At 35.0% G+C, this 26,511-nt stretch overlaps 1 protein-coding gene across 7 annotated transcripts in view; it reads right to left on the bottom strand.

The window, feature by feature from the left end:
- Positions 11,801-26,511, bottom strand: part of OTOGL (otogelin like) — a 281,344-nt gene continuing 266,633 nt past the window's right edge. For all 7 annotated transcript variants that reach the window (NM_001368062.3, NM_001378610.3, NM_001378609.3 and 4 more), the window contains 7 exons: positions 26,044-26,107; positions 24,942-25,120; positions 24,372-24,476; positions 21,992-22,111; positions 20,617-20,662; positions 15,479-15,558; positions 11,801-14,833 (listed from right to left, as the gene is read on the bottom strand). In NM_001368062.3, the coding sequence (NP_001354991.2) occupies positions 14,633-14,833; positions 15,479-15,558; positions 20,617-20,662; positions 21,992-22,111; positions 24,372-24,476; positions 24,942-25,120; positions 26,044-26,107 (795 nt within the window). In that variant the 3' untranslated portion in view covers positions 11,801-14,632. The remainder of the gene's footprint in view (positions 14,834-15,478; positions 15,559-20,616; positions 20,663-21,991; positions 22,112-24,371; positions 24,477-24,941; positions 25,121-26,043; positions 26,108-26,511) is intronic.

Raw genomic sequence — 26,511 nt, 5'->3', positions numbered from 1 at the left:
AACCATAACCATACACATTTTCACAATATTGTTGAATTCAAACCTTGAAGGAAAATTTCAATAAGCAATAATTTAGGAAACAAAAATAATATATCTATAATGGAAAAAAATATAAGCTAGAACCACTTTTCTTTTGGAATACTAAATATCCAAACACAGTGAAGCAATGTCTGCTTTTTTGAAAGTAACTATGACCTCAAATTTTTATACCCAGCTATTTTATATATATTATATTATATTATATTATATATATGTACGTATCTCAAGTCCTTTCCATGTGCTTAAAGTTCTACTAACTGCTTTACATATGTTATTCTCATTAGCTTGACACTATTTCTATAGGACATTTGAAAAAATATGAAGTGTAAAATTGTTCAATTTACTTAGAGTCACAAATAATTGCATAAAGATTTGACGTTGTACCTACTTGATCTGAGAACTTGAGACCTTAGCTGTCATGCTATGCTATGAATAAAACCTTAGAATATACAATCCATGTGCCTTTCCAGAGAAAAATTACTTGACATTACATGTCAAGCAACCAAGAAATAAAGCAAACAACAATTCAGTAATGGAGACATTAGGCCTGGCAGTAAGGGTTACAGCTAATTCACATATAGAACTATTAGGTTGGGTTACAAAACTGAGCTTATTTATGTCTTTGTGTGTTTATGTGCGTGCATATATGGCTTTTGATAGAAAATATTAATATAGACAGATATAATTAAAAATAATTTTTTATTACACTTTAAGTTCTAGGGTACATGTGCACAACGTGCAGGTTTGTTACATATGTATACATGTACCATGTTGCTGTGCTGCACCCACTAACTCATCATTTACATTAAGTATATCTCCTAATGCTATCCCTCCCCACTCCCCCCACCCCACGACAGGCCCCAGTGTGTGATGTCCCCCTTCCTGTGTACAAGTGTTCTCATTGTCCAATTCCCACCTATGAGTGAGAACATGCGGTGTTTGGTTTTCTCTCCTTGCGATAGTTTGCTCAGAATGATGGTTACCAGCTTCATCCATGTCTCTACAAAGGACATGAACTCATTCTTTTTTGTGGCTGCATAGTATTCCGTGGTGTATATGTGCCACATTTTCTTAATCCAGTCTATCATTGATGGGCATTTGGGTTGGTTTCAAGTTTTTGCTATTGTGAATAGTGCCACAATAAACATACCTGTGCATGTGTCTTTATAGCAGCATGATTTATAATCCTTTGGGTATATACCCAACAATGGGATGGCTGGGTCAAATGGTATTTCTAGTTCTAGATCCTTGAGGAATCGCCACACTGTCTTCCACAATGGTTGAACTAGTTTACAGTCCCACTAACAGTGTAAAAGTGTTCCTATTTCTCCACATCCTCTACAGCACCTGTTATTTCCTGACTTTTTAATGATCACCATTCTAACTGGTGTGAGATGGTATCTCACTGTGGTTTTGATTTGCATTTCTCTGATGGCCAGTGATGATGAGCCGTTTTTCATGTGTCTGTTGGCTGCATAAATGTCTTCTTTTCAGAAGTGTCTGTTCATATCCTTTGCCCACTTTTTGATGGAGTTGTTTGGTTTTTTCTTGTAAATTTGTTTAAGTTCTTTGTAGATTCTGGATATTAGCCCTTTGTCAGATGGGTAGATTGCAAAAATTTTCTCCCATTCTATAGGTTACCTGTTCACTCTGATGGTAGTTTCTTTTGCTGTGCAGAAGCTCTTTAGTTTAATTAGATCCCATTTGTCAATTTTGGCTTTGGTTGCCATTGCTTTTGGTGTTTTAGACATGAAGTCCTTGCCCATGCCTATGTCCTGAATGGTATTGCTTAGGTTTTCTTCTAGGGTTTTTATGGTTTTAGGTCTAACATTTAAGTCTTTAATCCATCTTGAATTAATTTTTGTATAAGGTGTAAGGAAGGGATCCAGTTTCAGCTTTCTACATATGGCTAGCCAGTTTTCCCAGCACCATTTGTTAAATAGGGAATCCTTTCCTCATTTCTTGTTTTTGTCAGGTTTGTCAAAGATCAGATAGTTGTAGATGTGTGGTATTATTTCTGAGGGCTCTGTTCTGTTTCATTGGTCTATATCTCTGTTTTAGTATCAGTACCATGCTGTTTTGGTTACTGTAGCCTTGTAGTATAGTTTGAAGTCAGGTAGCGTGATGCCTCCAGCTTTGTTCTTTTGGCTTAGGATTGCCTTGGCAATGTGAGCTCTTTTTTTGGTTCCATATGAACTTTAAAATAGTTTTTTCCACTTCTGTGAAGAAAGTCATTGCTAGCTTAATGGGGGTGGCATTGAATCTATAAATCACCTTGGGCAGTATGGCCATTTTCACAATATTGATTCTTCCTATCCATGAGCATGGAATGTTCTTCCATTTGTTTGTGTCCTCTTTTATTTCGTTGAGCAGTGGTTTGTAGTTCTCCTTGAAGAGGTCCTTCACATCCCTTGTAAGTTGGATTCCTAGGTATTTTATTCTCTTTGAAGCAATTGTGAATGGGAGTTCACTCATGATTTTGCTCTCTGTTTGTCTGTTATTGGTGTATAAGAATGCTTGTGATTTTTGCACAACAATCTTGTATCCTGACACTTTGCTGAAGTTGCTTATCAGCTTAAGGAGATTTTGGGCTGAGACAATGGGGTTTTCTAAATATACAATCATGTCATCTGCAAACACGGATAATTTGACTTCCTCTTTTCCTAATTGAATACACTTTATTTCTTTCTCCTGCCTGATTGCCTTGGCCAGAACTTCCAACACTATGTTGAATAGAAGTAGTGAGATAGGGCATCCCTGCCTTGTGCCAGTTTTCAAAGGGAATGCTTGCAGTTTTTGCCCATTCAGTATGATATTGACTGTGGGTTTGTCATAAATAGCTCTTATTATTTTGAGATAAGTCCCATCAATACCTAATTTATTGAGAGATTTTAGCATGAAGGCCATTGAATTTTGTCAAAGGCCTTTTCTGCATCTATTGAGATAATCATGTGGTTTTTGTCTTTGGTCCTGTTTATATGATGGATTATGTTTATTGATTTGTGTATGTTGAACCAGCCTTGCATCCTAGGGATGAAGCCCACTTGATCATGTTGGATAAGCTTTTTGATGTGCTGCTGGATTCGGTTTGCCAGTAATTTATTGAGGATTTTTGCATAGATGTTCATCAGGGATATTGGTCTAAAATTCTCTTTTTTTGTTGTGTCTCTGCCAGGCTTTGGTATCAGGATGATGCTGGCCTCATAAAATGAGTTAGGATTCTCTCTTTTTCTATTGATTGGAATAGCTTCAGAAGGAATGGTACCAGCTCCTCCTTGTACCTCTGGTAGAATTTGGCTGTGAATCCATCTGGTCCTGGAGTTTTTTTGGTTGCTAGGCTATTAATTATTGCCTCAATTTCAGAGCCTGTTATTGGTCTATTCAGGGATTCAACTTCTTGCTGATTTAGTCTTGGGAGGGTGTATGTGTCCAGGAATTTATCCATTTCTTCTAGATTTTCTAGTTTATTTGCATAGAGGTGTTTATAGTATTCTCTGATGGTAGTATGTATTTCTGTGGGATCGGTGGTGATATCCCCTTTATCATTTTTTATTGCATCTATTTGATTCTTCTCTCTAGCAGTCTATCAATTTTGTTGATCTTTTCAAAAAACCAGCTCCTGGATTCATTGATTTTTTGAAGGGTTTTTTGTGTCTCTATCTCCTTCAGTTCTGCTCTGATCTTAGTTATTTCTTGCCTTCTGCTAGCTTTTGAATGTGTTTGCTCTTGCTTCTCTAGTTCTTTTAATTGTGATGTTAGGGTGTCAATTTTAGATCTTTCCTGCTTTCTCTTGTGGACATTTAGTGCTATAAATTTCCCTCTACACACTGTTTTAAATGTGTCCCAGAGATTCTGGTATGTTGTGTCTTTGTTCTCATTGGTTTCAAAGAACATCTTTATTTCTGCCTTCATTTTGTTACGTACCCAGTAGTCATTCAGGAGCAGGTTGTTCAGTTTCCATGTAGTTGAGCGGTTTTGAGTGAGTTTCTTAATCCTGAGTTCTAATTTGATTGCACTGTGGTCTGAGAGACAGTTTGTTGTAATTTCTGTTCTTTTACATTGGCTGAGGAGTGCTTTACTTCCAGCTATGTGGTCAATTTTGGAATAGGTGTGGTGTGGTGCTGAAAAGAATGTATATTCTGTTGGAGTGGAGAGTTCTGTAGATGTCTGTTAGGTCCTCATGGTGCAGAGCTGAGTTCCATTCCTGGATATCCTTGTTAACTTTCTGTCTCCTTGATCTACCTAATGTTGACAGAGGGGTGTTAAAATCTCCCATTATTACTGTGTGGGAGTCTAAGTCTCTGTAGGTCTCTAAGGACTTGCTTTATGAATTTGGGTGCTCCTGTATTGGGTGCATATATATTTAGGATAGTTAGCTCTTCTTGTTGAATTGATCCCTTTACCATTTTGTAATGGCCTTCTTTGTCTCTTTTGATCTTTGTTAGTTTAAAGTCTGTTTTATCAGAGACTAGGATTGCAACCCCTGCTTTTTTTGTTTTCCATTTGCTTGGTAGATCTTCCTCCATCCCCTTATTTTGAACCTATGTGTGTCTCTGCATGTGAGATGGGTCTCCTGAATACAGAACACTGATGTGTCTTGATTCTTTATCCAATTTACCAGTCTGCGTCTTTTAATTGAAGCACTTAGCCCATTTACATTTAAGGTTAATATTGTTATGTGTGAATTTGATCCTGTCATTATGATGTTAGCTGGCTATTTTGTTCATTAGTTGGTGCAGTTTCTTCTTAGCATCAATGGTCTTTACAATTTGGCATTCTTTGCAGTGGCTGATACCAGTTGTCCCTTTCCATGTTTAGTGCTTCCTTCAGGAGCTCTTGTAAGGCAGGCCTGGTGGTGACAAAATCTCTCAGCATTTGCTTGTCTATAACGGATTTTATTTCTCCTTCACTTATGAAGCTTAGTTTGGCTGGATATGAAATTCTGGGTTGAAAATCTTTTCTTTAAGAATGTTGAATACTGGCCCCCACTCTCTTCTGGCTTGTAGAGTTTCTGCCATGAGATCCGCTGTTAGCCTGATGGGCTTCCCTTTGTGGGTAACCCGACCTTTCTCTCTGGCTGCCCTTAACATTTTTTCCTTCATTTCAACTTTGGTGAATCTGACAATTATGTGTCTTGAAGTTGCTCTTCTCAAGGTATATCTTTGTGGCGTTCTCTATATTTCCTGAATTTGAATGTTGGCCTGCCTTGGTAGGTTGGGGAACTTCTCCTGGATAATATCCTGAAGAGTGTTTTCCAACTTGGTTCCATTCTCCCCTTCACTTTCAGGTACACCAATCAGACGTCGATTTGGTCTTTTCACATAGTCCCTTATTTCTTGGAGGCTTTGTTCGTTTCTTTTTACTCTTTTTTCTCTAAACTTCTCTTCTTGCTTCATTTCATTCATTTGATCTTCAATCACTGATACCCTTCTTCCAGTTGATCAAATCAGCTACTGAAGCTTGCGCATGCATCACGTAGCTCTCGTGCCATGGTTTTCAGCTCCATCAAGTCATTTAAGGACTTCTCTACACTGTTTATTCTAGTTAGCCATTCGTCTAGTCTTTTTTCAAGGTTTTTAGCTTCTCTGCGATGGGTTCGAACATCCTCCTTTAGCTCAGGTAAGTTTGATCATCTGAAGCCTTCTTCTCTCAACTCATCAAAGTCATTCTCTGTCCAGCTTTGTTCCATTACTGGCAAGGAGCTGCATTCCTTTGGAGGAGAAGAGGCGCTCTGAGTTTTAGAATATTCAGCTTTTCTGCTCTGGTTTCTCCCCATCTTTGTGGTTTTATCTACCTTTCGTCTTTGATGATGGTGACGTACAGATGGGGTTTTGGTGTGGATGTCCTTTCTGTTTGTTAGTTTTCTTTCTAACAGTCAGGACCCTCAGCTGCAGGTCTGTTGGAGTTTGCTGGAGGTCCACTCCAGACGCTGTTTGCCTGGGTATCACCAGCGGAGGCTGCAGAACAGTGAATATTGCAGAACAGCAAATGTTGCTGCCTGATCGTTCCTCTGGAAGCTTCGTCTCAGAGGGGTGCCCGGCCATGTGAGGTGTCAGTCGGCCCCTACTGGGAGGTGCTTCCCAGTTAGGCTACTCGGGGACCCACTTGAGGAGGCAGTCTGTCCGTTTTCGGATCTCAAAGTCCGTGCTGGGAGAACCACTACTCTCTTCACAGCTCAGTTGAAAATTGAGAAATCACCTGTCTTCTGCATCACTCACGCTGGGAGCTGTAGACTGGAGCTGTTCCTATTCAGCCATCTTGGAACCTCAGTGGTATTCTTAATAATAAGGAAGTTGAAAAATAATCCTTATATTTAAAAGAAATATTTGGCAAAATATTTTGAAAATTACTTACTTCAGTGACTTTAATGCTGAGGTTTATTACTTTGCAAAAGAAAAAACTCTTGGGAGGCCAAGGCAGGTGGATCACAAGGTCAGGAGATTGATACCACCCTGGCTAACACGGTGAAACCCTGTCTCTACCAAAAATACAAAAAATTAGCTTAAATATAATTTTGATACAAAATACATATTGTTATGAATGCAGAAAAATTTAAATTACATATTCTTTCATAAAAAACATAGTTTTCTATTTTTTATCCATCCCTAGATTTCTGTAATTGTATTTTTTAAATAGATGATATTTTTATAGCAATATAATTTTGTCTTTAGCTAGACATTTAAAACTTTCTCATTAGCAGCTGTTAGTGAATAAACTCTGAGAAGTTTTTTTCCCTCCGCAAGGATGCAATGAAAATGGAAGTTTCCAAGCACTACATCCATTTATAAGAATTTATTAGAAAAAAAATGAAGGCTAGTAACACAACAGTAGGTAACTTTTGTACAAATTACCACATGGTGTGTCCTTAGATATATTAGGAAAACGCATAATGTCTGGTGGGTGAATTGGAACAAGGCTTCCGCTTCTAACCTCAGGAGTTACAGGAAACAGGCTCCTCCCTCTGGGAAGACGCAGCCCCAAACTTGGGTGTTTGGCTTGATAAGAGGACAGTGCCTTCATCTTCATGCAAAGAAAAAAAGGCATTCCTTCCTCTAGGTAGAAACAGCCCCTTGTCAAGTTACACGTCTTGGCTTGAAGAGCCTGACCTACAATTCAGCACTACCTTTCTTATATAAGATAAGCACTTTTATACAATGCCCAGACTGTACAACCATTCACAGCAACCCTGTCTGGGAATATTAGCACAAATATAAATCCTAACCCACTTGAGCTACAGGCCCTCTGATCAATGATACTTATTATGTATTTTGAAATTATCTGAATCTATATGTTGTAAAACAAAAATAAAATCCTAAGCCACCCCTAAACCAACTAAACAGACCCCCTCTGGGCCAAGAGGACCCCAGAGAAACCTGAAAAACTGAATTCCTGGCACAAGGTGAAAGGAGGTCATACGAGTCTCATTATGTCTCCTCCCTTTTGGACTTTAGGTACAACTGACTAGTATTAACATTGAAATGAAGACCATAAGACTGATAAAACAGACTCTGTGTGGCAATAAGATACCAAATTCCAACCTAAGTCTGGTATAGCATCACATGACAGATAGCAGACCCTAAAGGAAATAAAAGTAAATTTTACCCCAAAATATATCTCTTGGACATATTGTGAAATGGTCCTGCAAATTCTTCTCTTGTGGGGTAAATCTGCATCTATAGAGAATCTCTTTCCCTTTCTAGGTCTTTCCCAGATCTAGGAGACATTAAATGAGAGTATGACGCTTTTTTATTTTATTTTTTGAGTTGGAATCTTGCTCTGTCGCCCAGGCTGGAGTGCAGTGGTGCAATCTTGGCTCACTGCAACCTCTGCCTCCCGGGTTCAAGAGATTCTCCTGCCTCTACAGGCGTGACACCACACCCAGCTAAGTTTTGTATTTTTAGTAGAGACGGGTTTTCAACATATTGGCCAGGATGTTCTCGATCTCTTGACCTTGTGATCTGCCTGCCTCAGCCTCCCAAAGTGCTGGGATTACAGGTGTGAGCCGCTGCACCCAGCCCTGACACTTTTTTAAGGTCTGAAAGAAGACATTTACCATCTACTCTCTCTGAAGGCTATAATCTGGAGGTTTCATCTACCTATCAAGGAGTTGGTCTCTACAACTGCCAATGTATTAACTCAAGCATTTCTTTCTACTGACTTCAAATCTTTAGATAGAACTTAACTCTTTCAACCAACTGCCAATCAGGAAATTTTTGAATCTATCTATGATTTGTAAGCCCCTACCTTCAATTTATCCTGCCTCTGTAGGCCAAACTGACATATACATCCCATATGTTAATTTATGTCTTTGCTTGTAAGTACTATTTCCCTAAAATGTATCACCTCAAACTGTAACCTGACCACCTTAGGCACACTTTCTAAGGACCTCTTGAGACTGTTCCTTGGGCCATAGTCAATTGGCCCAGAACAAACTGAATAAACCTCTTTAAATATTTCACAGTTTTACTGTTTTTGGTCAACAATATAACCACAAATCTTCTCAATATATCAATTTTAATTAGTTGAAATATCTGGATTTCAAAAATTTAGTGTTATTTTCTATGCAACGTGAACATTAAGCTAAAACTTTGCATGGTAATTAATTGCCTGAAAAAAAAACTCAAAAACATTTCAGTTCCTATTAAGAGCCTCTTTTCTGCTGGTAGGCATAGCAACTTAAGAGACTGTCTGTCTCTTCTCCTTTTCAGCTTCACTGAATTGATAAATTAGTAATTAATTTGATTCACCTCTTAAAACTAACATGAATGACAGGTTTTATTTTGTTAATAATTCAACTTTTAAAAACAGGATCAAAATTGCTAGATTACATTCATTGTAATATAACCTTTAAAAGGTAGTGTTAGGTAAGTTAAAGTTTGTAAAATTGTTTGTCCTTATAGGGCATAGTTTGAAATTACCAAGGAAGAAAATAGACACAGGAAAAATAGACAAAAGAACTACAGTAAGTATGTAAAAAGGTTTGAATTCAGTGGCAAGCTCAGATACATATACTAGTATCATATGAGCTGGTGTTTTTTGCTTATTATATCAATTAGTTTATCTGTTACTACATAATATTGATGATGATAAAGGAAACAAACTCATAAATAGTGTTTGTGGGAGCAAACTGGTTGATTCACCAGTTGTGGAAGACAAATTTGGCAATAGGAAAAGAAATTCTTCACATGTTGATACCACTTGATCTTTCAATTCCACTTCATGCTTAAGGATTTATTTAGATAAAAAAAATAGCAATAAATATCCATTAATAGACTGGCTAAGTCAATTGTGATATTCACTTAATGGACTACTATATAGCATATAAAATCTCTGCTGCAGAAAAAATGCATAAGAATATAATAATTTTTACGAACTTAAAAATTACAGAAATATATGTTTAAGATCAGGAGAGGCAGAAAGAAAGGCAAAAATAAATAAACAAATATTCGAAATAAATTATTTGTGTGGCTATTTTGTTTTTACTTTCTACAATCAACACGAGAGTCTGTTTTTTACTCTTCTCCCTCCCAACATGACAGAGTATACAGTTAAAAGTCTTTACTGATTTAATAACAAAACAATTGCATCTTGTAGTTTTAATGTTTATTTCTGAGCCTATCAGGAAGTATATACGTATGTGTATGTATACACAACGTAAACACACACACACACGCAGCATTGAGATCTGTGAACCGCCAAGGAAGGGGACTGACAAAGAATGGCCATAGAGGTTGAAGTAGAGCCTGAGGTGGGGAAGACTGGGAGGAAGTAACTTAAGGAAAGTGAGATGACATAGGAGAGGATCAAAAGCAAGTACAAGGCAGATTGTTGGACAGCAGGACACAACTCACAGAGACGTACCTGGAAAGGCCAAATGGAACGCCTACATCTTGGAAAGATCACTGGGAGTGAGGAGCAACGGTGAGCAATTTACTGGCTGACTCCTGGGCCTGTTACTCCTTGGTCAGAGTTCACCCCATAGGATATTAACTCCTCTGCTCTTTCCAGGTGTATTACTCAGCTCATCAAGGCATTCATGAGGGCACGTGCTTCTTTCCAGAAGTGGTGGTGGAAGCTACAGCTCCCATGGCAGGCACTGGGCAGGGATGGAGTCCTTCCTCCACAGAAGCAGACTGAGCAGTGATCAGAGGAAGGGAAGGAGGCCCATGGTGGGGACTGGGTCGGCTGCGCATGCGCGGTGCTTTTCCAGTGTCCATAGCCTGGTAGGAAGAATCCACCATGAAGGTGCAAGCAGAAGCAGGTCCAGCACCACCAGCTGCAGAACTATGAGCATGTGCCTAAGCGAATCTCTGCATGAGCAGAAGTGGAGTGGTGCATGTATCGAGAAAGATTGATCACCTACCAATCCGCTTTCAACCCACTTCACTATGCTTTTGTCCATAAGAAACACCAATTCTTCTTTCTATACATTCAGTGACTCTTCATCATTTGATAGACCGTAACTCCAGTCCCTTGTATAGCCTTGTATTGCCTTGGTTCTATGACCTCCTTCAAGGTTCCAGGCTTTACTTCAACCTCTATGGCCATTCTTTCTCAGTCCTTTTCCCTGGCCATTCTTTTTCTATACAATCCCTTAGATGTACAAGGTCTTCAAGACTCAGTGTTGGATCCTGTTTTCCTCTCACTATATACTCTTGCCCTAGATAACTTCATTCATTCTCATAGTTTCATACAATTTATATATTAACAAATCCTAAAAATACTTCAACAAAGATTTTTTTGAGCACCAAACCAATAGAGATAGCCACGTTCTGATAACTTCACTCAGTTGTCTAATCAACCATATCAACATGCTCAGAAATGGATTCTAAACGTTGCCATCTCACAGCTAAAATTCACCTTTCTGTCCAAGGTTTCTATCCTCCATTCATCCAGCTGCTGATCAAACTCAGAGGCATTCTCAAAACACTTTTCTGTGTCATAATGATTACCAAGTCCTCGACTTTACCTCTGAAATATATCTTATATATGACAATTTCTCCTATCTGCACTGTCACTGCCATTTCTCACCTGTTCTATAGCAATAGCATCATAACAGCCTTTTTGTTTATTGCTTGGCTTCCCAGTTCATCTCACCAGCCTCATTCTATACCACACTCCCCATTACTCAAAACAAAGAAACAAACAAACAAAATTCTGTTTATCATTTCCCTGGTCAGCCTTTGTCCTTTCCTCTCAAAAGACCTTGATGCATGTTGTTCCCTTCTCTTGGAAATGCTTTATTGTTTGACTCACACTCATCCTTCAGGTCTCAGCTTACACATCATTTTCCCAGAGGCCTCCCTTTACTTTTCACCCAATGCAAATTAGATTTTGCTATGTCACTGTCTCAGCAACCTCTACTCTTCCCTTGCAGCATGTATCATAACTTAGAATTGTTCATTTATTTATATTAGTATATATATATAAAATTTAAATATTTGAAATGCAATACATTCATAATTCAAAACTCAAAATGTATATTAAGATATACATGGAGAAGTCTTGTTTGCATCCCAATCTTCATCTACCCTGATCCACCTCCACCATTGGTTTTTGCCATTTTATTACCTCATTGTTTACTTCCTATGTAAATATGATTATATTTTCTTATTTAGGCCTTTTTAATTTACAACACCTAGAAATCTAATATGCTGTTCTAGATTTCAATACATTATTCAATTTAAAAATGTGTTAGAAATCATCCCACACCAATATATACTTTTCATTCTATTTTCACAGATGTATAGTATTACACATGTGGATTAACGTAGTTTATTCAACTATTGTTGGTTTTTTTCTATTACAAACAATGCTGCAATTAATAACCTTCACAAATACCACTTTGTATTTGTACAGGCGTTTGTACGGCATATATATTCTAGGCAGTTTGGTCAAACCAAAAATCACTTCTAATATTAGTATACATTTCTAGGTTTTCCCTAGGATTTCTACAATTTTGTGTTACCATCAATGACATGTGAGAGTGCTTATCTTCCCAGAGCCTTAAAAAATAAAAGTATCATTAAACTTCTGGTTTTTTACCAGTCTGGTAGGTGAGAAATTGAATTTCTGTAGATTGAATGTGAAATATTTTTTATTAGCTAGAAGTGTGCTCAGTTATCTTTTTTGTTAAAGGATCCACTAGTCTTACTTATTTTTCTTTCAACTATCAGTTTATATCTTTGGCTCATTTTTCTATCAGGTTGTTAATTTTTTCCTTTTGTTATTTTTTTCAAGAGTTCTTTACATACAGGAGGATTAGACTGTGTCACTGATATGTCACAAATATTGTTTCTTTGCTTTTATCTTTTTTTGACTTTTTTCTACCAAGCAGAATTTGTCTGTTTTCAGTTTTCTAACTGTTAAATCTATGAATCATTTATTTGGGGTATCTGGATACTGAGTCACAATTAGAATGGCTCTCCCCAATCTAAGATTTCTTCCCTATTTTCTTTTGTAACTCCTATCTTCTTTTGTTTTTTAACATTTAAATCTCTGATTCATTTGGAGGTTATCCTAATGTCAATGGATGTATGAATTCAAATTTTTCTTTATCTACGTAACCATTCAGTTGTCCCAACACCATTTATTAAGAGCTAATTTGCACTCTTCCACTGATTTCAGAGTCATCTTTATGATATGCCACATTCTAATAAGTTTTGGGATCTCTTTCTGGACATTCTCATATCATATGTATGGCTATTTAAGGCCTGCTTTCTTGCTAGACTCTAAGAATTAAGGGAGTTAGGACTGTGTCTGTTTAGTTTTGCCTGTGTCCCAAGAGTTTATAATAGTGCCTGGCACATGTAGGCCCTAAATGCTTATTTGCTGTATTTGTTGAATGTTTATAAAGTTCTAGGAGAATGTTTCCCATTTCTCCACAAATAGGTTTAAAGATTACTTAATATTTTTAATAATGAATATTTTACAGAAAATGGAAATAAAAATGGGCAATAGATAATATACAACATTAGTTACTTCTATTTGAAATACATAACATTTTCTCTTAAGTGAAATATTAATATATTTTAACCAAAAACATTTAATTTTATATATCTATATGTTAATAGGAATCAGAGAATATTGAAATGTTAACATCTCAGGAACACTTATATTAAGCACAAACAGGATAAATCAATTGCATATACAGTAAACACTGGGATTTGCAGATGCAATGTTGATTTTTTCACACATATTTAAGTAACCCAAGAGATCTAAAATATTCAGTAAGTTGCAATATTTTGGGGACACATGATTTTGAAATGAAAACATTAGTATATGAAAGCAGATAATCTAGTTTAAGCCTAAGCCCACCCTTGAGGCCCAGTATCTGCTTTGCAATGAGACTTTACTGTTCTTTTGTTGATGTTTGACTTCACTTGATACAATTACACTAAGTAGGGCATTCACTCCTTTATACTGAGGAGAAAATTCAGACAATTTTTAATTATAGGTGGCAAAGAATTTGGGCATTTCCAAAGACCTCAATACATTCTTCTTGCAAATGTCAATAATCTACCATATTTTAAAAGTGCAGCATTCCATTTTAAAGTTATTGATACATTCAGATAAATTTATTTCATTCTTCATTGGCAAAGCAGCAGCATTAACAGCAAAACAGCACTCAACTTCAACAGTATGCAAGTACATCCTCAAAATTAAATATTAATGAGACAGTAACTAAATGTTAAATACTGACAACACATTTAATAGCAGTTTTAATTATATAAAAAATAACAGTTCAAGATCTATCTCCTCTATTTAGCAAATGATGCTATATTTCCCTGCTCCTTACTATTGGAATAACAATGTATGGGGGGCATTTTTCAAATATGTTAAACTTAAAATACTTAATTCTATCCAATGCAAACTCTTTAAGAATGAAAGATTCTGTGATATACTCTTACTACATACTGCTCAGGATTTTAAAAGTGATATAGTACTGGAATAAGAGAGAGCTAGGATTTAATCCAACTGTTAACATGAATTTACTATATTATTACACTGAATAAATTTGTACGAGTCACACAGCTTCTCTGGTTATCTGTTACACCTGCAAAATGAGGGGAATTTATAATGACTTCTCTATAAACCATTCAGGTTTTAAATAATCCATTATCTATCTCTAAGCATATCACTCTTTATTGCTATCTAGATGACAATTTTAACTGATCACATTTACCAGATTAAGGAGTACATATTAAAGGGTACCTTAATTTGGATAGCTATAGCAGACTTTGCAAATTAAGAAAAAAAGAGCTACTGAGTGAAATTGAAGGAATTTTGCAAAATAACCTTCCAGTTGATGAGAATATACTGTATCTGCACCAAGTTGTAATTAAATACATAACAGCATTTCAGCTGAACAACTTACAGTCATTTGATTTTCTAAAATAGAGTAAAGCAATAAATTTAATTTTGCTATTGAAACTGTATATATTTTGTACAAATTGCTAAATTTCCACATTCCAAGTCTGAAAAATACAGTATTGTTAAACAGCATAAATCTGCCACATGCCTAAGTAATAGCAATAAAAGTTAATTCTATCTGACGTTATGATGTTGTATAGAGCTCTTGGAACCCAAGGGTTTAATTCCACTGGCACGTACAGTCTATGGGTTCCTGGAGAGTGTACATAATTTCAGTGCCATTTCCTGAGCAATACAGAGGCACAGACAAGTTTCGTACTCCATTTTCACGACAACACTTGCAGAATCTTAGGTGACTTTCAATATTGATGTTATATATGGTAGCTGATGGGCATTTGCCGTCACAAGATGCAACATTTATCTGTAAGAAGTGACAATGAGAAAAAAAGTCTTAAACTTTTAAAAGTACTGGTTATTATTTGATTCCACTAAGAAAATCTGATGAAAATCTTTCTTCCTCATCACTCCAACCCTCAAGCTTCTGCATGTTGCAAGATCGTAAAAAACAATAAATGAAACATCAGTCACATAAGTCAAAGGGACGTTTCATGGCAATGCTCAACATAGCATTCAAAGCATTAAATGTGCACACATAACTCAACATAAATCTATATGGAATATGTTAATCACAATATAGTTAATCTATTGTAACCTGTGTCATATCATGGCTCAAGCACACTGCAGGTCATATTAAAAGGGACAAAGTTAGAAGCAGAACTCTTTTTGCTGAGTAAAATTGCATAGTGAAGACAACATGTAGTCAAATACATTTAGATTCAATTTCTATCCCTCTGGATTGCAACCATCATTCAGAACTGCTGATTATGCTAAGAATAATTCATACTTCTTCACAAACAGAATATTGCAACATTAGAATGTAGGAATAATCTCAGTTAAATATTGTTAAGCGTTGGCAGTTTGTTGGCTTACAAACTTCTTTCTGTAACACACATACTTTCTAAAAAGATGTGTGCATTTATGTAGCAAATGACATTTTTCCACTTACAGGGCTTTGGCTCATACAGTCCTGTTTCCTTATGACCGATTTAATGATCACTTTCTGGCATATTCTTTCTTCTCGTTTGCCTGATAAAATATAAAATGTATTTATTCATCAAAGGCCTACGTTAAATTGTTTCTTAAATTAAATATATGAATATATTTACAGTTGAAAATTGGTGTATTTATATAAAATATATTCCAGTATTGAAAGATATTTAAAACTTCTCTCTTACATTTTTATGTGCAATATTTATTTTCACCTTCTAAATAGATTTTCTTATATTTTCTGGCTTTACACTTATTGATTTCCACTTTATATCTTATTGTCTTAGAATAATTATCACAATCAGAAATCAGAAATATTCCACACATGTAATAATGCTAACATCAACCTGTGTGTGGCATATATGTGTTTAAAATAATTTTTGGAATAAACCATAAAGTGTATAAGTAGATATATGCATATGTAATTAATGCATAACTACATATATACATCAATTTTAAAATAAAAATTGAGAGATTTAAAACCACATTATCTTAATGGACATTAATATAAAATAATGCAAAATTTTAATAGAATCACTTATCAACCATATTGAAGTGTATGGATGAGTCATACTTGATTTTATGGCTCTGAAATGGTCTTTTATAATTTCAAATGAAAACACTTTGTATGCATTCATGATATCTTAATATGTGTCTGTGTGTGTAATGGATTATCACGTGCTATTACATGCAAGCATCTATATTTAATGATGTATAATAGTGGATGTAATCCCTGAATCAAGATACAAAAACCAAGGTTCTCTCTATTCCAACTTGCTTTGTTACTTTAGGAAAATCACTGAATTATCCTGCTGAGTTTCCTTACTTACAAAAGAGTGAACTTATATCCCAATTTTAAAATACATTTAGCCATGAAATCCTAATTTAAAACAATCTCAACATGTAAAATAGATAAAGATTAAGCTACTCTGCTTGAAGGAGAGATGGGTAGCTAAGATTGACTGAAGGGTTACTGTCCTCAAGGTCACTCATGACCTCCAAATTGCTAAATTTCAAGATCATCTCTCAGTTCTCACCCTATCTGACTTCTCAGCAGTATTTGACCCAGTCCATCACTCTGTCCTCTTTTTTTTAAATTTTATTATTATTATACTTTAAGTTTTAGGGTACATGTGCACAACACACTCTTTAATGCACCCTCCATACTTGGCTTCCTGAGCTCACCTGGTTTGGTTTTCATCCTATCTCACTCATGGCTCCTCCTCAGTCTCCTATGCTGGTTCTATCTCTTTTCACTAACCTCTTGCTCATGGTGTGACTCGAGGCTCAGTGCTGTTGGTTGAGTGCAGGCTGTTCTGCCCCTTATGGTGCTTTCACTCAGTGATTATTTCCTTAGCCCTTCCATTCTTACGTAAGTTCAAGAATAAAGAATAGTCAATGAAAAAAATCATCTTTACCATGACCTATAAGATGCCTCACCCTCTTCTTTCTATCACCTTCCTCCTCTCACTTTCCGTGCAATAGCCACATTTTGCTATTTCCTCCACTTTGAACACTCTTCACCATGTGGGTGGCTTCCCAAGGACACTCAGTCTCTACTCAAATGACGCCTCATCACCAAGGCATTTTCTAAGCCCCCGCTTAAGTTAGCAACCCAGCTCCTCTCATTCTCCATTCCTTTTATTCTACATTATTTTTCTTTATACCACTCATCACTAAATGACATATTAGAATATATTTATGGGTTCAGTGTTTCTTCCCCTTCTTGATAATGAGCACACTCCATGCAGACATTGCTTCATTCACTATTATGGTCCCAGTGGCTAAAAAGATGTTTGTCATGTAGGCACCCAGTAAAAACCCAACGAGTTAATTCATTCAGTAAATGAAACCAGGGCAGCAATAATTTATCATTAGCTGAGTTTGTTTGTACCAAGAGTCATTTCTAATTCATTCCTCAAAAACTTTATTGTAACAGATTTTATTCAACACAGAGCCTGCAATAGTATCCAACCTCCACAATCTCTTCAACACAGCCTAGTCTTCAGAAAGCAAAGGCGGCAGGAAAGGGTTTTCTAATATGCCAGCAGAAACTACATTACGAGTCCTTTCACGTCAGATGAGAGAAACTGAAGTGGCTTGTTATTATTCTGCAACTTCAAAGAACTTAGCAGAGTTGAAAGATCCTGGGCCCAGATACTGGACAGGCCTAAATTTATTATTTACTACTATGATCAGCTTCTCTCTGAACCTTCTATTTCTCATCTGTAGGGAAAACATACCTGCCTTCCAGAACTGTTGTGAGGATTAGGTGTGGTCCTGTCAGCAATGTGCTTAATAGAGTGTCAGTGTGTGGCAGGCCATAGTGGTCATTCATATGATTAGTCACAGAGATATTCCCCTGTCTGCCCTGAGATAACATAATTGTACTCACTTCCCTAATAATTAACATGGGGATATAGAAGCCAGGGCCTTAACATTGCCATGTGACTCTATTCCTGCATCTCATACCTAAGGAAGAGTCTAGAATCTGAAGAAGAAGATGGAAAAAAAAAAGTGAAATCTTAAATTTCCTCATATTCTAAAGCTAAATTTCATTCCTTGAGCCCCTGATACAATGACTATTTGATTCATATTAGTTTATATTTGATTTAGAGAATTCTGAATGAAAACGTGCTTATTTCTAATGAACAGAATGTTTTTAATCAGTGTGTATCTAATTAAAGCCTTAGTAATTAAAAATATATAGGTTATATTATACTATCCCTAAAAGTCTTTGCAATATAATTATCATGGGTTGAATTGTGTCTTAAAATGCCTGTGTATCTTAGAATGTGATCTTATTTGGACACAAGATCTTTGCAGGGATAACTGAGCAAAAATGAGATCATTAGGAGGTGCTAATTCAATATTACTGGTGTTCATGTAAAAAGTGGAAATCTGGAGTTAGACACACATACAGGAAAAACAACATGTGAGCATGAAGATGGCCATCTACATGCCAAGGAAAGAGGTTTGGAGCAGATCTCTCTCTCATAATACCTCCAAGGAATGAGCCCTGCTGACATCTTGGTTTTGGAGTCCTAATCTCCATAAATTTCTATTTCCAACCACTTTTTGGTTTGTTACAGCAGCCCTGCAAACTAATATCATAACAAATTAGATGTCAGGCCATCCTGTTGGACTTTTTTGCTTGTTGTCGGTGTGTATGTGTGCATTGAGTTTGGCTTTTTAGACATTATGTAAATAAAAATTCAGTCATTCTAGCCCTGCCACTTCAGCAGAGCTTATCATTCAGCCTCTGCCCTCTCCTAAAACTTGTCCTGGCAATGTTCCAGAATACCATGAAGAGTTAAGAAGCAGGACGGGAAATGAGACCCGCAGTAGATTCCTAGCATTATCACTTACAAGAGGTATGACTTGGACAAATTATTTAACGCCACTAAGTGGAAAATCAAGCTAATGTCAGAACCTATTTCATTGGATTTTGGTGGTAATAAATTATAATATATTACATATTATATATTGTATATAGATAGTATATATTACATAGTATTTGTATTAATATTTTAATACATTCTAATATTCTGTTCAGTATGACTCTACATATCTAAAAATATAAGACTACTCTTACATATTTATGGGATTTAGTCTTTCATGAAAGAAATTCAGAAATCTTCCTCAAGATGTATGTCAGTTCATATCTAAGAATCTGGCCCTATACCACAGTTTGTTTGTTTGTTTGTTTGTTTGTTTGTTTGTTTGTTTTGGAGACAGAGTCTAGCTCTGTCACCAGGCTGGAGTGCAGTGGCGTGATCTTGGCTCACTGTAACCTCCGCCTCTCGGGTTCAAGTGATTCTCCTGCCTCAGCCTCCCAAGTAGCTGGGATCACAGGCACATGCTGCTATGTCCAGCTAATTTTTGTATTTTTAGTAGAGACGGGGTTTCACCATGTTGGCCAGGATGGTCTCGATCTTCTGACCTTGTGATCCACCCAACTTGGCCTCCCAAAGTGCTGTGATTACAGCATGGTATTATTAAACTGAACTTTGTTGTGCCCCTTTCCTAAAAGCTTCTTTAAATTTTAAAATTACTGTCTATGCTAATTTTCTCAAAATTTCTATTTTTATATTGAGATAAATTCACAAACACTTTAAAAAGAAAAAATAAATGTGGTTTCATGGAAAACACTCTATTCTATTTCAGTCCTTAAAATTATTCAAAATTAGTATGAAATAGTAATCCCAGCACTTTGGGAGGCCGAAGTGGGCAGATCACTTGAGGCCAGGAGTTTGAGGCCAACCTGGCCAACACTGAAACCCCATCTCTACTAAAAATATAAAAATTAGCCGGACGTGATGGCGCATGCGTGTAATCCCAGCTACTCAGGAGGCTGAGGCATGAGAATTGCTTGGACCCGGCAGGAAGAGGTTGCAGTGAGCTAAGATCATGCCACTACGCCCCGGCCTGGGCAATAGAGCAAAACTCCGTCTCACTAAAAAAAAAACAATTACTATGAAATAAACCTTATAATCCAAGCTAATAAAAAATATATTGCATTCAGATAGCTTTAATTATGAAAATAATTATGAGAACTTTTATGAAAAGGATATAAATATTATTTACTAAAATATTATCCAAATTTATTGTACAAAACTATATACTTACTCAAACAGGTTTGAAAAATACTGCACCCATATGTTGTTTTTGGAGTCACAATGCCATTCTAACTGTAATCTACTTGTTTAAGTTCAGCATGGTTCAAACAAATATGATCACAAAACATTTTTAAATTTTAAATATACTGAAATCTTATGAAATACCTTTTGTAATATGCCACAATAAAAAAATATTTAAATTAAAATTAATCTAAATGCAAACACTTTCTTTACACTCCAGAAGTTAAAGACTAATTTACAAAATTATTAACCATATGATACAAAAACCTTTAAGTTAAAGACTAAATTACAAAATTATTAACCATATGATACAAAAAACATACGATACAAAAATATTTTATAAAATTTGTTTCTCTCTTTGCATCATAGGAATTGAATTTTGTGAGAAAAACCATAATCACTATGAGCAATTAAAACTAATCTATCAAGTAAATGCATGGAATATGCTCTCACTTACAGATCTTGCAACAGCCTTCATTATAAAGCTTCACAATCCCTTCATTCTAGAAAGAGAAAAAAGCAATAAAGTCAAAGAATATGGTGTTCTTCCATGTTCTCTTGTACTAGAAAAAGAAAACTAACTTTTCTAAAACTTTTATCAAATACCACAAAGCCTTCATAGAAAAATAGTTGGAATTTAACTATTACTAAAAAGAACTTGTTTTTAAAATCTGGAGTAGATATTTTGTTTAAAATTACATTATTTATACATTGGTACTATGGAAAAGAGTGTAAAAGGATTATTCTACTTAAAAGGACACTTTAAATGCCACAAAATATTCTTACTAAAACAAAATAATAACAGCTATTCTAAATAATGACCATTATATATTTTCAACTCCTTGAAATAACCTAAACTACTTCCATTTGACTTGAGTTTCTGAATATAACTGAATGTTAAAATTGTACATCTTTTTCTTTGATAGTTTTTATGAAAAAATATTTCCTTCCTTGGAAGGACTCTTGTCTAAGACTAAATTTTTACAAGAATTACTAATTGCTTTAGCAACCTACTAACTGCAATTGAAATAAGAGAATGATTTACGCTATAAATATTAGTCTGTGAAACAAGATGATGCCCAAGTTTTTTCCAGAGCTGAAATTCTGTGACTTTAGTACGTGTTATATCTAGCTAGCCAGCCAGCCGTCATCATTGAAAAGGTACATCCTGAAAAAAAATCAATGAGACTAGACTGTACTATTTCTCTATACAACGGAACAAAGCCTAGTTTTCATTAGGAATTATTATTGTCTAAATAAATAAAGCTACAAAAATCTTGCAAAATAAAAATTATATTATGTTCACAAATCTACTTTTCCAGTAAACTCTTCTCTGAAAGAATAGGGAAATTGATAGAGCAAAACATAAGAATAGGCAATCCTGTGACTTGTACTAAATTTTTCAGTGACCTGTGACCAGAAAAGCTAGGGCAAACATCATACAGGCCAGCATGCATTACAGTTGAATGACATCAAAAATCTCACTGTTTGTTTAAGAAAGAAAATTGGCCAAGCTCTGATTCCTTAGCTTATTAATCCATATTAAAGGGAAGGCCAAGTCTGCTGACCAAATGATTTTTCTATAATCTTTGGATCTACAGATAAAAACCCAACGATTGCACAGTATCTATTCAAGACAGAATTACCTGGAACGCCGTATATAACTCAAAATTTCAAATGGGAAAAATAGAACAGAGCTTTTATTCATTCATGAAAATAACACATTCGCCATTATGTATAAGCCACAATGAAAGTATGACCTTAGAAAATATCAATGTGTATTTTCTAAATTATATAATAATAAATTTTCTTAGATACAACAAAGTACAAACCATTTTGCATTCAGTCTCATTAAAAGGGGGACAGACCATTGTGTAGTTCAGAATTATTGCTCCTTCATCAGTTTTAACACATTCATATGTGGTGCAATTGTAGTGCCAGGTACTCCCTACCTAAAAATCAAAAAGAAAGTTACTATTTAGCATATTAAAATCTGCTGTATTTATTAAGTACAATATTATTCTATTGAATAAAAAGTCAAATCAAGATGCAAAGGCTTCTTGTGACACAAAATGTTCCATCTGAAAATGACCCTAAGTTTATCTAAAATGATTAAAAATACATACACGTGTATAGTGTATACTTATCTAAAATGATAAAAATACATACATATGTATAGTGTGTTTGTATATGCTAGGTTTCATACTAGAACTGAGAGGTAAATGTGAAATAAAACAATAGAGAGTGAAGAAGCAAATAGGTATCTGTTTCTACTACAAAATTATCTAATTTAACCAAGTGTCAAAGGTCTTGCTCTAATATTTCCTCACTAATTATAAAACAACAAATCATATTACTTATATACCTCCTTCCTTGAGACGTGTTTATTCTTCCTTCTACTCCCTTATTGCCAAAAAGTTTAAAGAAATATTTAAATAACAGTGTTTATTGGCTTGTGATTCTAATTGTGTATACCCTACATTATTTTAAAATTTATCCCTATTCTTTCAAGAAATATTTAAATATAATAACCATTTCATTCCTGATTTCAGAATTTCTATTTAAAAGTCAGTTGAAATAATTGTTAATCTATATTTTTATTTTATAACTCACATTTAAAAAATAAAAGTAGTTAATGTCAGCATTACTTCATCATTTAGGCAAAAAGGAAAATTCATAAAAGAGATGGAAAATTCGTCTCTTTTTCATTTTATTCTACTTTATTTCAAGACGGTTGGCCATGGTGGGGGCATGTTGTTCTAGGCCTTCTCAATTTCTCATAGATTTTACTTTAAATTAATTAAGGCCATTCTCTTAATAAATTTGTACATCAGCCCAGGCCGCAAGCTATGGTGCAGAAGGCTACATTTTTGAATCTCAAGTTACTTTTCGTGCTGCTGGACAAATTGACTTAATTCTGTGCAAGCAAACACTTTGTATCATAAGGCTTTTTATTGCCACTCTATTCTTACTACTATTCATGATTCAAACATCTACCCCTGTTCTGAATCAGGATGTTGACACTTTATGGTTATTTTCAGATGAACAGTAACTGCTACACTCTTAAAAGCACTTAAGGAAAGTGTAAGCATGTCCTAAATAGTCAACCATTTAACCTGGGAAAACACAGGCTTTCCTGTTTAATCAAGTATCAGGCCAATCTATAGATATAATCTTAAAGGATTTTCAGCAGTAATGAAGACAGTTTGGGAAAGGAGAAGGCACTTTAAAGACATGAAACCTTACATTACACGCTCTTAGATATTTTTAAACATAATAAGCTCATTGGATTCAGGTATTTTTGTCTTTGCATTTAAAAAAATATGTGTTTCTAATTTGTTTGCATATTTAATTATGTCAAAGCTGAGAAATTCATGAGTTAAATTTATAAATGTCATTTGCAACCAAATGAAGTATTTATTTTTGAAAAGAAAGGGTGAAGGAACAAATACTGATTTGTACATAATAAAAATATATGTGTGTATTATACATATATATATTTTTTTCCTCCTTGACACTACTTTCTCACCATATCAAGTGTATTTTTGTACTTTATATATAGGTTAGAAAAATGTCAATTGTCTATTCCAAAGAATTCTATCTCTGTAATAGATTATATTTATGCTAATCTGTTGATACCTCTGTTAATTTGCTTTAAGAGATAGAATTATATTTTTGTAAGTTGCAAAAAAAAAAAAAAAATAGTAGTTGTCAAACTTTGGCTTGAAGATTCCTTACAGATCAGTAAAGAATTCTGATGAACCTGACTATTTTCTTGTCTCTAGATTCTAATTTTATGTGTGGCTTAAGGTCTTCCATGAACCTCAATTAGAAAAGATCTGTAAATATTCAAATTCAAGAAACAGTAATATCTAATTTATCTGAAATCAAAAATCAGCTGTCACATAAAAATATTAATTGTTCCTTTCTTTCACGATCAGCATTTCCCAAAGCCTATTTCTTACATCTAGAAAAAAGGAGTGAAGATCTATGATAAAATAAGTTTGAGTCACAAGTTAAGCATTTTTCTTTACAACATAAATTATCAGATACTTCAAAATGTAACAAATGTAACTGTGTCTTGTGTGCTGTAGGTGTACTGTGTTTATTGTATGCAGTGCAGTGTGTGTGGGGGGGGACATTTTCCAAACTTTGACTCAAGAACTCCTCCTTCAGAAAATAGCACAGAGCATTACTCTCCATGAAACATACCGCGTATACAACTGATGTTCCATTTTCCATGTGAAATTTGCAGGATACATTTTTGCAGGTACCACAACAACCATAATCACTTGGGGATGGAGTATATACCTGGTGCTGCATATAATGATATTAGATTAGCGACACCATATCAATATTTTTAATGAATTACTTCTGGAGAGTTATTTCTTCCAAACATAACTACAAGCTCTTTCCAGACAACTGTAAGGATTTCTAAGGTTGAATATGAGAAGCTTCCAATAATAATTGACTTTATATGGTTATATTAGAAGTGAGATAGATGTTAACCTTTACTTCTAACAGCCAAATTCATCAAGCAGGTTTAACAACCTCAGGTAAGGCAACCTGGCAAGCTGTAGATAATAAGACTCCTGAAGTTCAAGGTTATGCACAGGAAAGTGAAAGTCTGTGTTTTATTGATATATTACAAAATAGTAGACTATTGAAGAACTATATAATATATATTTTAAACTAATGGAGTATTCACCATTTCAAATTCTATAACTCTGCCATTTTTGAATGCATTAACTCTCACCAGAATAAATTACAAGGAATACTTACAACATCACATTTTTTTGAACAATTCACCAGTGTAAAATTCAGAGTGTGAAAGCCCGTATGGTTATCTTTTTCTTCCAGACACTCTATAGCATAACAAAAGTCTTCTTCCAAATACTTTATCATGGATTGTCCAGGATTCAATACTGATACTTCTTGAAATACACACACATCATCCTTTTCTAAGAACAGAAAACATAGTCAATAAGAAAATATACTGTTGAGTTTTGTACTAATCCATCGTTGGAACTTATATTTGAGTCTATGTTTTCATTGCGATGTGCCAATTTTTCAAAACTAATGAAGATCTTCATATTTACGTATTTTAATGGCCCAATATTTACTTAAAAATGTAGTACACTATTCCTTAACATAAAATAAAAATTCATCTATAAAATCAACTGCTGTTTAATGATTGAACTTCCTCCAAAAGCTATACTTTATAGCAAGTTTAGAATATGAGCTCTTGGCCAGGCACAGTGGCTCATGCCTATAATCCCAGTACTTTGTGAGGCCAAAGTGAGAGGATTGCTAGAGACCAGAAGTTTGAGACCAGCCTGGGAAACATAGCAAGACCCCATTTCCAAAAAAAAAAAAAAAAAGCTGGGTATGGTGGTGCATGTCTGTAGTACAAGCTACTCAGGCAGTTAAGGTGGAAGGATTGCCTGAGCCCAGAAGTTTGAGGCTGCAGTGGGCTAGGATGGGGCCACTATATTCCAGCCTGGGTAACAGAGCAACTCTGTCTTAATAAAAATACATTAATAATAATAATACTAATATAATGGGCATAACATCATACTTTTTAGATGCCTATATTTTTAAATTAAATGTAGACATATTAAAAAGAGCCTAATGCCCACTGTAAAATTCTCTGAGGCCTCTGAAAAAATATTTATATTTCTGTTCTGTTATTCAGTTCTCAGAACATTTAGAGATATTACAAAAGAAGAAATTGAAACATAATAACACATTTTTATACTCAAATACTGGCAAATGGCTTAAAATGTATGTGTCTCAAAAATGAGATTTTTAACTTATTAATAGTGAAAAAACAGATACTAATGATATTCATTTATAATTTAAAAGTTACAAAAGACATAGTTACCACAGAGATACTGTATGCATCCACAATCACTCTGGAAGTTATGGTCTATTGCAGTAAATTCTCCCTATTGAAAATATACTACTATTACTTATCATTTAGCTTATTTTATATATATATATATATATAACCTATATATATAAAACAATTGATATATATATATACACACACACACACATACTCAGTGATAACATCTAATAAGTCCCTTATCACACAGCCAGACACTTTAAAATCATATTGTTTGATTCTGAGCTTCTGTAGGGCAATCAAAGACAACATTTGCCAACCTTAGGAACTTTGCTTCATGGAAATGTTCTTGATCTGCTCTACCAAGGCAGCCTAGGGTTCTGATGTCTGCATCTGCACAAGGCTGCTATAGTATACACATCAGCAACACAATGAGTATAGTACAGTGGTTAATAGCACAGTCTTAGGAATGGAACTGCCTTTGCACCAATCCTGGCTCCATAA

The sequence above is a fragment of the Homo sapiens genome, chromosome 12, assembly GCF_000001405.40.
Source record: "Homo sapiens chromosome 12, GRCh38.p14 Primary Assembly".
Taxonomy (NCBI): Eukaryota; Metazoa; Chordata; class Mammalia; order Primates; family Hominidae; genus Homo; species Homo sapiens.
This window is presented reverse-complemented; position numbering and strand designations above follow the sequence as displayed.